The sequence below is a fragment of the Homo sapiens genome, chromosome 5 (genome assembly GCF_000001405.40).
Source record: "Homo sapiens chromosome 5, GRCh38.p14 Primary Assembly".
Lineage (NCBI taxonomy): Eukaryota > Metazoa > Chordata > Mammalia > Primates > Hominidae > Homo > Homo sapiens.
Window position 1 is genome coordinate 61,902,110 of NC_000005.10, and position 15,443 is coordinate 61,917,552.

Genomic DNA, 15,443 nt, shown 5'->3' on the forward strand with positions numbered 1-15,443 from the left:
TGCTTCTCCAATATTTGGCAGACACATCTCCACTCTTTTCTCTGCCTCTGTCATTGCCCTGGCTGCTCCCCAAGGCCAGAGCCCATGTCTCCTCTTTGTCTCGTGGCCTTTCTCTCATTAGACACTCAATAAATGCTGTTGACAGACCGGCTGGCTGCCTGGCTAAGATGCCATCTTTCCACCAAGGGCAAGTGTCCTTCACTGCCTTTATTTATTGCTTGATGTCAAATCAGCATGAATTCATTTTCCTGAAATGTACATCAGGATTAATGAGAGAGTTAAAGAATTCAAAATTATTGGAGGGTATTGGCACTAATTAGTATCATAGCACTGTAACAGGGCTTGAGTAATGTCTTCCAGGTGTAGAAAGCTTTGGAGTTAAACACGTCAGTCTAACCCTGATTTTTATCTAAACATCCCCAATTTTTATGACATCATTTGTATGTATATCAGCAAATTTCCAACTGTGTGGTTACCTCCTATTACTTTAACTTTGAGAGACAAAAATTAAGTATAAGAATCACATTTTATGTTGTTTAACAATTGTTAAGAACGAACACACCAAATCATTCCTGTTTTTAAAAAAATTGAAGATCCTCTTTCCTTTCAGCACATTGTCAGCAGGCCTTGGGATCAAAATGAAGCCGTCTTGGTCCCAAGCTATGTTCATCAACATTCTTGCTTATATGATCTGCAAGAAGAGAGGGAAAACATATTTAAGTTCTATAAGGTTCTTGAACAGTTTTTTCCTTAGTAAAACATGAAATAAACACTCTTCCCCCCAATAACATAGCATATCCAGTTTTATGAGGCTTATGAAATCGTTCTGAATTTTAAAATAGCTCATCCATTTGTCACTTCCCCTTACCTGACATTCTTTTAAAACCTCCATCACCATTGCTTTCACAAACACTCCCCAAATGCTGTCAGATGGGTTATCACTGCCTTGCACTTTTGTTCTGTTGTTAATTTTGGAGAAAGTCCTAGAGTGTAGCAATATTATTGAACTCATTTCTGCTTAGGTCTCAAGTTTCCATAGCTCCTCTGTTACCAAGTGGCAGTGCACCCTATAGGCACAATAAATAAATAATACAACACTGAAGCTATAACAAATCACAAAATGCATTATTAAAAAATTAAGAAATAAATATCCCCCTCTTACTTAAATAGGGATTGATTTTATAATGTGGAATGCTGAGGAGAGCTGCTCTAAGATATATTAAAGCCTGGGGACAGGGAGAATACACTATAATGGGCATTTTGCTCCCTCAGCCAGAGGAAAAAAATCCTCAGAGTGAATGGATGTATTTGTGAAATGGAAGCTGCTATTCTCTGTTTGTTCACAAGCCGGGTATGATGCACTGCTGGCTTCGTCATGTGAGGGTAGAAAGACCTGCAGGACACATCTGTCTTTCCTAAGCACAAACTGTTAGTCTGGATGAGGGTTATGAAGACAAATGCTTTCCTGGAACTGAAGTTGGAGAAGCACTGTTTCTTTCCTTTAACTTTAAATCACAATTCTGGCTTCCAAAAAGATGTTCTCAAACCAGGATTCTGCCAAGCATCCTCCAAGGTGTCTTATTTAACAGGAGGATATGGCACAGATCTCTCCACAAGGTGTACCCTTCAAGAGGAAATATTACATAGGATCACTTCTCCAGAAACTTGAAGATTTTCTTTTCCTTTTTTTCTTTTTCTTTTCTTTTGGCCACTCTGTGGCCCAGCCTGGACAGCAGTGGCACAAACAAGGCTCGCTGCAGCCTCGACTTTCTGGGCCCAAGCCATCCTCCCACTTCAGCTTCCTGAGTAGCTAGGAGTACAGGCATGTGCCACCACTTCCAGAAAATTTTTATTTTTTGTACACGTGGGGCCTCACTATGTTGCCCAGGCTGGTCTGGAACCCCTGGACTCATTTCATCAAAGTTTTTGACTGGGGAAGAATCTGCTTCGAAGCCCACACATGTGGTTGTCAGCAGAATTCAGTTCCTCAAGGACTATTGGACTTACAGCCTCAATTCCTTGCTGCTGGTTGGCCAGGTTCTGCCCTTAGTTTCTTGCCATATTGGCCTTTCCAGCTTGCTTCACCAGAAACAGCACACATGAAGAACAAGAGAGAGGCTAGCAGGATGGAGTCACAGTGACATACCATCACTGTTACATATTCTATTTGTTAGAAGCAAGTCACTTGATCCAGTCCCCATCAAAGGTGAAGGGGTTACACAAGGACATGAATACCAGAAGACAAGGATCTTTGGGAGCCATGTCAGAAACTACCTACCAGCGTGAGTAAGAAATAAACCTCTCTTGTATTAAGTCACGGAGATTTCAGAGTTGATTTGCCACAGCAGCTAATACCTTGAGTAACACAAGAGAGAAGAGCAGCAGATGGTTCTGGTAAAGTGGAGTCAGGGCAGGCCAGATCCTACAATGCCTTATAAGCTCTGATTAAAACAAAAACAAACAAACAAACAAAAATGGCATTTATTCCAAGTGCAATGAGAGATCATCAAAAGATTTAAGCATAAGAGAAAGAATTGGGGTTTTGTTTTATGATTATTCTTGCTACTGCTTATAAATGCATTGAGAGGAAACAAGAGTAGAAGCAGAGAGGCTTGTCGGGAGGCTATTGTCATCTGATTCAGGATTGGGTAATAAAGAAAATAGGGGTTGAGTGGTTAATTTTATGTGTCAACTTGGCTGGGCCATGGTGCCTAGATATGTTGTAAAACACTGTTGGAGATGTTTCCGTGAGAGATTGTTTGGATGAGATCAGCATTTAAATCAGTAGATTTTGAGTACAGTAGATTGCCTTCAAAATGTTGGTGGGCCTCATCCAATCAGTTGAAGGCCTGAATAGAACAAAAAGACTGATCTTCCCCAAGCAAGAGTGAATTACACAGATGGCCTTCAGACTTGAACTGCAACATTGGCCTGTCCCTGGGTCTCCAGCCTGCTGACCAACCCTGCAGATTTTGCATTTAGTAGCCTCCATAATTGTATGAGCCAATTTCTTAAAATAAATCTCCCTCTCTCACTCCCTCTCCACACACACACACACACGCACACACACGTGTACATGCACATACACATACACTCTATTGGTTCCATTTCTCTGGGGAACCCTGACTAATGCAGCTGGCTTAAGCCCACCCAATACCCAGCAGTAGCAGCAGCTGTGCCAGCAGATTCTGCTGTTTGTTAAGTACCTATTCTGTGTTCCAGGCACTCTGCTAGATATTTTGTATGCATCATCTCATCCAATCATCTGACAAATATAGATTTTTACACCCATTTTACCAATGAGGAAATCAAGACTCAGAGAGTTAAGTGAATTACCCAAGGTCACATACCTTGTGGCACAACTGCCTGATCAATTTGTCAGGAGCCCATTTTTTTCAAATGATGGAATGAGAAAAAAAATAACAAAAAAAAGTTTTGTGCTTGAAATCTGAAATGCCATTTTGCTGATGGTCAAAGCAAATTCATTAAATCCAGTACAATTTCCTTATGTATTAAAATAACATTTGCAATCTGTGAGGGGCCTTTCTTTTTGCTAACGCATGGCAATTATATTTTTACACTGCAACTGCAAATCTGGTTTTTAGTTTCCCCATTTGTTTCCATACGCATACTTTTACAGCCAATTGTTAACGGATTAACAACTTTGGGTGAAATCCATCAGTCTGCTCTGGTTTGCCTCTATGGCTGGAAAGTCTGTTGACAAGTACAGAGCACAGAGGAGCTGGCTCTAGCTTGAGCAGGCCAAATAGAGCATTAGTTCCCTTGATAAATGTTTACTGTGCTTCTGCTATGTTCCAGAAACTGTGCTGTGCATTCTGGACACTGCCTCATAAGCAGCAAGGAGTCTTTCTGAATCTTCTGGGTTTGTAGAATATAAAAATGACCTCATTAGGAAATCAGCACATCTAAATAGCAAAGTGTTTAGTCTCAGAAATACATTCTATTTTATGTGTCCAAAATTTCTCCTATCAGTCTACCTAGCTATCTGTCTATCTAGCTATCCATTGAACCATCCATTCATTTCTCTCAACAGTTTCTATGCAATGATCTCTCAATGGCAGTATTTTGAAATAATCAACCAAATGGTAACATCTAAAACCCATTCTCTGCAGAACTTTTTTTCTGTAACCTGTAGCTCCCAAGAAAGTCACTCAAGAGCTGCAGTCATTTGAAAGGTGAGAATTGTTAATCCCCAGGATTTAACCCTCTGCCCGCCCCGCACCGCCCCCACCAACCCACCTCCTGCACATCTGCACTCCAGCTTCTGGGGCCAGGAAGTCAGAAAAAAAAATTCACATTTAGTTTTGTCCCAAATGGGAAGGATGGACGGAGAAAGTCAGATGGTATAAATACAGCAGGCTTTTATTCTTATAGTTTAAATAGATTTAAAAAGCAGAATGTATCAGAAGAAGGAAAACACAAAGACATTACCCAAAATACAAAGTTAAAATCCTCCTTGAGACCATTAGACCTCCGCTATGGCACGTGCAAGTGACCATCAACATCTAAAAGATAACATAAAATAATTCAGTAACAAAAGCCTAAGAAAGCAAAGAGCAAATCATGTTTAACTCCAGCTGCAGAAGCCAGGTGAGGTGGGAAGACTCAGAAAGGACTGTGATTGGATTATAGGAAGCTGCCATAGAGGAGAGGACTTTTGAGTAATCTAGAAGAGAGTAATCTGCAACATTGTTTTTTGTCCATAAAACCTTTCACCCTGTACTATGGCCAGAGTTTTACAGGAGGGTGTATTCACAGACAGTGGCATTTTGGAGGGAGAATTTGTCCCAAGTCATCAGAAGAATACATTCGTCATCTGAAGACAACACACGGAGAGCTTCACCTCCAGCACTTCAGTGTTGCTAAGAATTGTGCAGTCGCCAATAGGAACAGCAAAAGCTAGAAAAGAAATGCAAATGATGCGGTCTGCATAGTTCAAAAGGGAACTATTTATTCCAAGACTGAATTTTGAGAATTACAGACAGAAAGACTTGAGGTATCCAGGCTAGTACATCCTCTTTAGTACAAGAAAGTGGCCTTTCAGGTGGGGACCAACACGGATTGACATCAGAGGTAGGCAATGCAGATCAGCAGGCAGAAGTGGAGTCAAAGGCAATGGAGAGCCTGGAGATGGCAAAGGCTTGCTTCATCTATAATAAGAGTGTTTGAGGGCATGGGAAACAGACAAGGAACAGAGAAAGTCACTCTACATAGATCTTGCAGGGTGAGCAGGATTTCACCAGGCTGATGGAAGAAAGCAGGAAACATTCTAAGCAAAATGCAAAAGCACAGAAATAAAAAACAGTATGGTTCGTTCACCAGTGAATAGGGATGAGGGATAATAATAATAATTACACTTATTGAATACTTTTACATTCATTCAGTATCTCATTTAATTCTCCTAACCTATCTAGGAAATCAGCATAATTATTTTCATTTTACAAATGAGAAAACCAAGGCAGGGAACCCAAGAACTTGTTAAAGGTAATATATTAGTCAGTGATTGAGCTACAACTCAAACGTAATTCTACTCCATACTGCATATTGTTTCAGTTTACAATAAAAATATTTATGCTTAAACAAACTGTATATAATCCAATTAATAAACCCTTCCTGGATTTCTCAAAGAACTAAAAATAGGACTACCATTCAACCCAGCAATCCTACCACTGGGTATCTACCCAAAAGAAAAGAAATTGTTATATCAAAAAGACACCTGCACACATATGTTTATTGCAGCATTATTCACAATAGCAAAATCACAAAATCAACCTAAGTGTTCATCAACAGAAGACTGGATAAACAAAATGTAGTGTATGTATATATATATATATATATATATATATATATATATATATATATAAACACATACATACATACACACACACACACACACACATATATATATATATATATACCGTGTGTATTAGGGTTCCCTAGAGGGACAGAACTACTAGGACACATATATATGTTTATTAATGTATAGTTTTAATTAATTAATTAATATTAATAATACTAATAATATTTATTTAATTAATTAATACTAATTAATAGTTTATTAACTATTAACTTATATGATCACAAGGTCCCACAGTAGGCTGTCTGCAAGCTTGAGGAGCAAGAAGAGCCAGTCTGAGTCTCAAAACTGATGAATGTGGAGTCCCATGTTTGAGGGCAGGGAGCATCCAGCATGGGAGAAAGACGTAAGCTGGGAGGCTAGGCAAGTCTCGCCTCTTCAGGTTTTTCTGCCTGCTTTATATTCGCTGGCAGCTGAATAGATTGTGCCCACCAGATTAAGGATGGGTCTCCCTTCCCAAGCCCACTGACTCAAATGTTAATCTCCTTTGACAACATCCTCACAGACATACCCAGGAACAATACTTTGCATCCTCCAATCAAGTTGACGCTCAGTATTAGCTATCACAAGTCCACCCCTTGTCAACTTGAACCCATATACAACTCCTGAGATCATACATAATCTTCAAATAAAGACAATAATGAGGTCATAATTATGCCTAACATAATATAACTCTCCTTGGTACAACTGGAAACACACCAATCCCCAACCCAAATACTATTACATAAAGTTAATAATACTTAAAAGCTGATATGAAGTCAATAAATCTTATGCCACATAATAAAGGAAAGTGAAATAAAATGAAGATATTTTCTTAGTACAAGTGTATACGTACACAAACATGTTTTTAACAAAAGTAGAAGGAAATACTCATGACAGTTACAGTCCTCGTTTCTGCAGCTGGTCACGTGGTAGTAGCTGGTATTGATGACTACCTTCTTCTACTACCCATTCTGTATATCCTTTGCCTTAGGCAAGCACCTCAGCAGGTCATGGTTTTATTCCTGGTGGAGTGACCCAAACCTTCATTCCTGTGGGGTCTGGACCATTTGTAGTCCTGCCTGGATTGGGCTGTTGTAGTTTCCTATTGACCTTAATCACAGGACATGGTAATACTAAGAGACACCCCAATGGATCTCCTGTATTCCATGCCTGCTCTTCCTTACCTCTGTCGCGGAGTAGTAGACTGATTTCACCTTGATAGTTGGGTCAATCACTCCAGCCAACACTGTAACTCCCTTCTTAGCCTGTTGACTTAAAGGTAAGAGGAGCCCAAAGTGTCCAGGTGGCAATCTTAACTTCCAGTTTAATGGAATTGTTGTGTCTCCTGGTGGCAGTGTTCCTCCCTCTGGAACTAAGACCTCTAGGCCAGCAGAACGCAATGTCACAGAAACAGGAAGCAAAATTTTGCTAGTGGATCACTAGGGGTGATGGTGAGTGATGCCACTTCCACTTCCACCCCTTGATTCCTGGACCCGTGAATCCTGGCTATGGGAGAAAGAGTACCATATATTGGACGCTGATTCAGAGCATACACGGCCTTCAGGAGAACTCTGCCCCAGCCCTGCAAAGTATTGTCACCTAGCTGGCATTGTAATTGTGACTCCAAAAGGCCATTCCACTGTTCTATTAATCCAGCTGCTTCAGGATGATGAGGAACATGGCAACACCAGTGAATTCCATGAGCATGAGCCCACTGCCGCAAATTCTTTAGCCGTAAAGTGAGTGTCTTGGTCAGAGGCAATGCTGTGTGGAATACTATGATGGTGGATAAGGCATTCTGTAAGTCCACTAATGGTAGTTTTGGCAGAAACATTGTGTGCTGGATAGGCAAACCCATATCTGGAATAAGTGTCTATTCCAGTGAGGACAAACCTCTGCCCTTTCATTGATGGAAGAGGTCCAATATAATCAACCTGCCACCAGGTAGCTGATCACCCCAAGGAATGCTGCCATATCGAGGGCTCAGTGTTGGTCTCTGCTACTGGAAAATTGGGCACTCAGCAGTGGCCATAGCCAGGTCAGCCTTGGTAAGTGGAAGTCCATGTTGCTGAGCCCAGGCATAACCTCTGCCCCTGCCACCATGGCCACTTTGTTCATGGGCCCATTGGGCAACGACGGGGTGGCTGGGGAAAGAGGCTGAGTGGTGTCCACAGAACAGGTCATCCTATCGACTTGATTATTAAAATCTTCCTCTGCTGAGGTCACCCATTGGTGAGCACTCACATGGGATACAAATATCTTCACAGTTTTTGGCCACTCAGAGAGGTCCATCCACAAACCTCTTCCCCAAATTTCTGTGTCACCAATTTTCCAATCATGCTTCTACCAAGTCCCTGACCATCCAGCCAAACCACTGGCTACAACCCATGAATCAGTTTATAATCACACATCTGGCCATTTCTCCTTCCTTGCAAAGTGCACAGCCAGGTGCACTGCTTGAAGTTCTGCCCACTGGGAACATTTCCCTTCACCACTGTCCTTCAGGGATGTCCTAGAAAGGGGCTGTAGTACTGCAGCCGTCCACTTTCGGGTAGTGCTTGCATATCATGCAGAATCACCTGTGAACCAGGCCCTAGTCTTCTCTTCCTCTGTCAGCTGATCATAGGGAACTCCCCACGAGGCCATTGGTGCAGACTGGAGGAGGGAAGGCAGGGTGGCAGGAGTGGAGACCATGGGCATTTGAGCCATTTCCTCATGTAACTTACTTGTGCCTTCACAACCTGCTCAAGCCTGGTCATGTATATACCACTTCCATTTGATGATGGAATGCTGCTGTGCATGACCCACTTTATGGCTAGATGGGTCAGAAAGCACCCAGTTCATGATAAGCAATTCAGGTTCCATGGTGACTTGATGACTCATAGTCAAACCCCCATAACTTGATGACTCATAGTCAAACCCCCATAAGAGTCCAAGGGCTGTCTCTCAAAAGGAGAGTAGTTATCTGCAGAAGATAGCAGGGCCTTGCCCCAAAATCTTAGAGGCCTCTGCTGTGATTCACCTATGGCGGTCTGCCAAAGACTCCAAACAGCATCCCTATCTGCCACTTGACACCTCAAGCAGCATTGGATCTGCTGGGTCATATGGCCCAAGTGGCAGAGCAGTTTGCACGGCAGCCTGGACCTGTTGCAGAGCCTTCTCTTATTCTGGACCCCACTCAAAACTGGCAGCCTTTTGGGTCACTGGATAAATGGGCCAGAGTAACACACCCAAATGAAGAATGTGTTGCCTCCAAAATCCAAACAAGCCCACTAGGCATTGTGCCTCCTTCTTGGTTGTAGGAGGGGCCAAGTGCAACAACTTATCCTTCACCTTAGAAGGAATGTCTCGACAGGCCCCACACCACTGGGCCCCTAGAAGTTTTACGGAGGTAGGAGGTCCCTGAATTTTAGTAGGATTTATTTCCCATCCTCTGGCACACAAATGTCTCACCAATAAATCCAGTGTGTTTGCTACTTCTTGCTCACTGGATCCAATCAGCATAATGTCATCAATGCAATGAGCCAGTATGATATCTTGCAGAAGCAAAAAGCGATCAAGGTCTCTCCGAATAATATTATGACACAAAGCCGGAGAGTTGATATGCCCCTGGGGTAGGACATTAAAGGTATATTGCTGGCCTTGCCAGGTGAAGACAAATTGCTTCTGGTGGGCCTTATGGACAGGTATTGAGAAAAAGACATTCGCCAAGTCAATGACTGCATACTAGGTACCAGAAGATGTGTTAATTTGCTCAAACAATGAAACCACATCTGGTAAAGCAGCTGCAATTGGATTCACCACTTAGTTAAGCTTACAAGAATCCACTGCCATTCTCTGACTTCCATCTCTCTTATGCACAGGCCAAATGGGAACGTTCAATAGGGATGTGGTGGGAATCACCACCCCTGAGTCTTTCAAGTCCTTGATGGTGGCACTAATCTCCACAATCCCTCCAGGAATGCAATATTGTTTTTGATTTACTATTTTTCTAGGTACAGGCAGCTCTAATCGCTTCCCTTTGGCCTTTACCACCTTAGTAGCCCTTACCCTGACAGTCAGGAAGCCAGTGTGGGGGTTCTGCCAGCTGCTAAGTATGTTTATGCCAATTATGTATTCTGGCACTAGGGAAGTGACCATAGGATAAGTCCAGGGACCCACTGGACCCACTGTAAGTCAGACCTGAGCTAAACCTCCATCAATTACCTGACCTCCATAAGCCCCTACTTTAACTGGAAAACCACAATGACTTTTTGTGCCTCCTGGATTGACATCTGCTCAGAGCCAGTGTTCAGTAGTCCCCAAAATGTCTGATAATTTCCCTTTCCCTAAAGCACAGTGACCCTGGTAAAAGGCCAGAGGTCTCCTTCGGGAAGGATGGGAGAGAGATTCACCACGTAAATTGTCGGTAATGTAGTGGGGTCCTTCCTCAAGGGAACCCGGCTTCCCCTTCATTCAAGGGGTTCTGGGCACGTAGACTGGCTCAAGTCTGGAAATTGACTGACAGGCCGTGATTCTCTGTTTTTGTATTTCAAATTAGTCTTTTGTCCATTCGACCTAGAAGTTTTATCCTTATATAAATTAAATAGGAATGCAGTAGGCTTCCTATCAATTTTACTTCCAGGAACGCTGTGATTAATTAGCCAATGCCACAGCTCTACACAAGTTAGACTATTCTGATTGCTGCTTTGTCTCTGCTGTCCATTACAGTAGCTACGACCACCTTGCCTTTGACGGTTGAGTGCTGTCACTTGGCCCCTGCCACCTCAAGATCCAATTATTCCCGTTGTCTTGTAGTTGAGTGACTGCGGTTCCCACTGTTCGATCTGACATACAGAGAACAGCAATTACAGGGCTCTCCAAAGATGCAGGTGCTGCCCTCACAAATCTTTCACAAGGCATTGGTTAAGGGTATATCTTCTGAACACTCCCAGCTGGGATGAGTAGGTCTAAAGTGACTAATCCACTCTACCATCCCAATCTCCCTAAGCCTTTGGATCTCTTCCTCTACATTAAACCAAGGAAGATCAGACATTTCCAGCTCACTCACAGTGGGCCATCACCCTGGCACCTGGCTTTTTGAATACTTCAGAGGTCCCCTGAAGTGTCCAGAAAACAGACGTAAACAGGATTAGTTGACGTGTTTAGGTACATGGGATTGCTAAAATGATGCTCCATCTTCTTAGGCTATATTTTTGTGAATAATATTAATATATGTTCCAAAATTGCATGAGATTTTCTAAAATTCGAATGTCTGAGTGTATGCTATCAATCATAATCAAGGTTTTTATGTTAAGTTATTGTAAACTATGGAGATAACCAAACTTCTTTGTCAATCGTGTTTCTAACTGTAACTACCTTGGACATTTTGCTATTCACAAGCAACTGTTGTCTCGTTTTAATCCCTTTCAAAGATGGTTTATAATGAGCTATAGAACTTTAGCAGGTGCTCTCAAATACAGTTCTGATAACTTTAAAAATTAGCCATGATACAATTCAAATAAGTTCTTATAACCTTAAAAATTGTGACATTGGAATAAAGGAAAATGTACAGTACTCATAAAGAGCTGAAATATTCACGAATATCAAGCAAAACAAGAGTTAACTAAATGGACTGAACTCAGGAAGCTGAAGCAAATCTTTGTGACCTTTGCTTGGAATATTGCTGATCCTTGTTTTGTTTTTCAGAGTCAAGGAAATTTATTTTGAACTATTTATGGCATTTAATAATTAAGGTATTAAGGTATACTCCTGGGATCAAAATTTGGAGCATGTTTGTTTCTCTCTGCCTCGTTCCTCTATAATTTGGAAACTGTCTGTAAGTATTCTTAACTTTATGGTGATACAGTTGTTTGTATCAGTGCAATAAGCATCCATTTTTCTTTTGCAACAGGATACAATTGGAGAAAGTGGTTATTTTACCAAGGCTTTGACTGGAAGGATATGCTTCCCTTTAAGGAGTCAAGCTTGACTTACAGAGCTGATAGAAGCCCAGTGGGGAAACTGGCCTCATACCCTTGTCTATGCAGTCCCCGTACAGGGTTCCTGACCCGTGGTCAGTAAAGAATGTCACTTTCTAACAGGTCCAGGAGCTCCAAGTTTATTATGGGACCTTAAGAAGAAAAGATCATCCAACTCACAGGTGTTTGAGGATACAAACCCATGGTTAGGCTTGGCTTTAAAAGGTCTTATTTGAAATTCCTTGTGGAACTGAATTCCTTAAAAGCCAATCCAAAAGGCCTATGTAGAAATAATTATTCTTGCTATTTGTACTGTATGCAAAGAGTCAGGCCAAGCATAAAACTAAAGTCTATTTTGCAAACTACCAGTCCTATGATGATTTATTTTTTAACAAACGAGGACTGGAGAGTGAGAAATCATGTTTCAAAACTTATATTTGTCATTAAATTCTAAACTCACTAGTTGTTTTTAAGTTTTCACCTACATTTTAGACTAACCCTACTTGTTCCGGTGAACCAACTGGCAGTCCCTGGCTGCAGCTCAGAAAGAACAAAAGGGATGGGTGATGTAGAAATTTGGATCAATATTCTAGTTTTGAGCAATTATCCTGCAAATCCTGCCAGGTGATAGAATAAATAGGGTATAAATAGGGTGCCCATCATCGGAGGTTTCCTTTTGGGGAAAGTAAAAACAAGGGAACTAACCAAAGCCAAGCACCATGGACCCAAATCCTAGCAAGCATAACAATAGCTATCAGTTATCTGGATGTGTCACAAGATGTCCTTTCCTCTCCCTTGCTGGAGCACTCAGTTCCACAGTTTCACCTTAGCATTTGGCTTATGATAAGAAGTCCATGCAACTCCCTCCGCAAGATACATTTTTGTCCCAAACTCAATTCCAAGCTTCAAGTCAAAGCCCTAGGAAATAAAACTGGATCAGAGGGATCCAGAAACAGATGATAATGGAAGTTAAAAGGCACAGTGAACGTGAACATGACTGATTTCTCCCGATTAAGCCAACCCCAAGCTTCCTGTTTCATGGAGAAAGGCCACATAAATATCCATGGCATAAATGAGGTATAGGGAACTTCAAGGCTACTGACAGCAGGGGAGATAGGGCATACGTGGGTAAGAGTGGATGATTCCTACCCCCTAGGGCCCCCTGCTTCATGGGTGCAAGTCGCTTTAACACCTATGGCCAGTTCTGCCAAGGTCGCCAGAACTCAGGGATGCAAGGACTGAAGATGAAAAGAAGACCCTCTTCTCTCTCTTCCTCATATACCCCGGGTATCTCCTAGGAAGAAAAAGGAACCATGGGTGCCTGGTCCCCTCTTTCTAGAGGGGTAGCCATTCATCTTCAGTCTGTACCCCTTTCAAATGCATCCTGAACCCCCGGGACCCCCTTGAAAAAATGCCTTCTTTTTTCCTTTCTCCTCCTCTGTCCTCTCTTCACTGACAGGTAATTGTGTCTCTGTAATATGGGACACTCCCCTCAGATGCATCCTGCAAACTGGAAAGAGTTAATTTCCCAAACCTTAAACTGGTTGGCCTAGGATTGGGCTCAGGCAGGGGAAGGGAACTCAGAAGCCCAACATGCTGGCAAGAGGGTGAAGTTTTTTTTTACCAGCTGGGCTTTTGCCCTCCCTTTCCCCATGCAAACTGGTAAAAGACCTCAGAGTTTTTCAGTTGTTCTTACCCGCCCCCACTTTGTTTTGTTTTGATACATGTTTTCTAATAACCTAGTTTTTCTGTTCTTGAGTTCAGGCCATCAAACTCCAAATGGTCATGCAATCAGAGCCTCTGATGATGACCCCTTCTGCTGGCGACCCTTAGATTGGCCTCTGAGGGAGCTCTGACTGCCAGTTCCCCAAAACAGTGCCCCCTGTCAGCAGGAAGCAGTTAAGATTGGTCTTTGTCCTTATGCTTAACCTAACGACAGTTAGATATACTTCTTTAGAGAGGGGAATGAGACAGCCAGGTAGGACAAGGTCTCTGGTGAAACTCCAACCAGCCTGCCCACTGGGGAGGAGACTTGGGAAGTTCACACCCTTTGCAGTGGGGAGGAGCCTCGCCCTTCCTCCTTCTGTGTGGAACCTGGGATTCGAACAATTTTCACCCGATAAAACCCTGCTTTATTTACCCTTTAAACTGTCTGCGAGCCTAAATTTTCATGGCCATGGGACAGACAAGAAGCCCGTCTTTAGCTGAACTAAGGAAAAGTCCTGCAACACTAGTGAGGTGTGGGGTGCTCTTTAAAAAGTGCAAGCAATTTTCTATCTCTATCAGTAAAGACATCAAATTACCTTTGGAAAACACTTCCATTGTTTTAGGAAAATCATTGGAACGGATCCTCTTCTGACCTGAAAGTAAAGCAAATATGCACACCATTTTTGAAGAAAATTGTCACCCATTAATCTAGATGGAAATGCCTCAAACTGACATATTACACATTTTGTTTACAAGTACAAATTGGCGTATATTTAGCAAGATTGTGCCCTTAAAAAGATTTTGTTTCCTAAATTTGATTTTTTTTAATGTGTGGTCTCTGCACATCATTCTTTGTTCTTGGAATGCATGTATGTATGTATGCGTGCACACACGCACACAAACACACACAAGTTCCATCTTAAAATTACTCATCAAAGATCAGGAGCAAAAATCAGATGATGAGAGGATGGACAGGGTGATATATCTTTACCATAAGCTTGGGGTAGGGATCTAAAAGAAGCCAGATGGGACATGCCAAAGTCTGCCCTGGACTGAAAACCCACATGTGGTGTTATTTCAGGTGGTATACCCTAGACCTTGGGAAATCTACTGTCAAATTTTGATTGCCCTGTCTGAGCTCACAGAGCCAGACCACACACTGTGAGTAAGAGTAGTTTGCTCCTGAAGAAAATGGCTGTAAGGCTGAGGGAGGGAAGTTCTTATCTCTTGAGTGCCAGGAGCCCATCTGTCCTCTTGAGAAGGAGGGACATGGAAAGGCTGAGGAGCCCAAGACAAGGATCAGAGCCAGAAGGAAACCAGCTCTTAAAGGGCAAGACCTAGAAGCATGAGTGGAGCTAACCTGTCAATTATCCTCTTCTGTGTTGCAGTATCCCCAAGCTGTCTGAAGAAATTTTTCAGATACTGCTATCTGGTCTTACGCATGCTCTGTAAGGTTAAAGGAAACCTATGTGTCCATACTGGAATAAAGCAGGATGGAATGTAGAGAGCTGATGTAGTTCAGAGAAGTTAAGTGTGAGCTGGCAAGAGCTGGCTTACCTGGTGGTTATGAAGAAGCCATCTGGAGAAAGGAGGGCTGGTAGAGGTGACAAGTGACATCCAGGAGAGAGTAGTACAACATGTGAGCAAGACTGAGGAATTCCCAGAAATTACTTGGCAAGGAGAATCCAGTAGATGAATGAAATTCCAATGGCCTGTGGAGTGAGGGCTCAGACTTTATTAGCTACATATTAAATGAGCTAATCCATGAGTAACAGAGACTGGAACATTCAGCAAATATTTCATGAACTCCTCAACATTTCCTAGCACCTGTGCAGACTAGGGCCATGTGACTAATACTACTGCGTAGGCAGTGGGAGGAAGTGAAGAACCCAGGCACAATTTTGCGGGCACTCCTC

The 15,443-nt window shown here is 42.3% G+C and overlaps 1 long non-coding RNA gene across 1 annotated transcript; it reads right to left on the bottom strand.

Annotated features, from left to right (window-relative positions):
• Nucleotides 1-507: 507 nt before the first annotated feature.
• On the bottom strand, nucleotides 508-15,236 carry LOC105378998 (uncharacterized). Its single transcript, XR_948374.3, has 5 exons — nucleotides 15,085-15,236; nucleotides 14,124-14,180; nucleotides 2,279-2,441; nucleotides 869-1,067; nucleotides 508-691 (listed from the first exon to the last, which is right to left on the bottom strand). It is a non-coding gene; the product is annotated as an uncharacterized LOC105378998 (long non-coding RNA).
• Nucleotides 15,237-15,443: the final 207 nt, after the last annotated feature.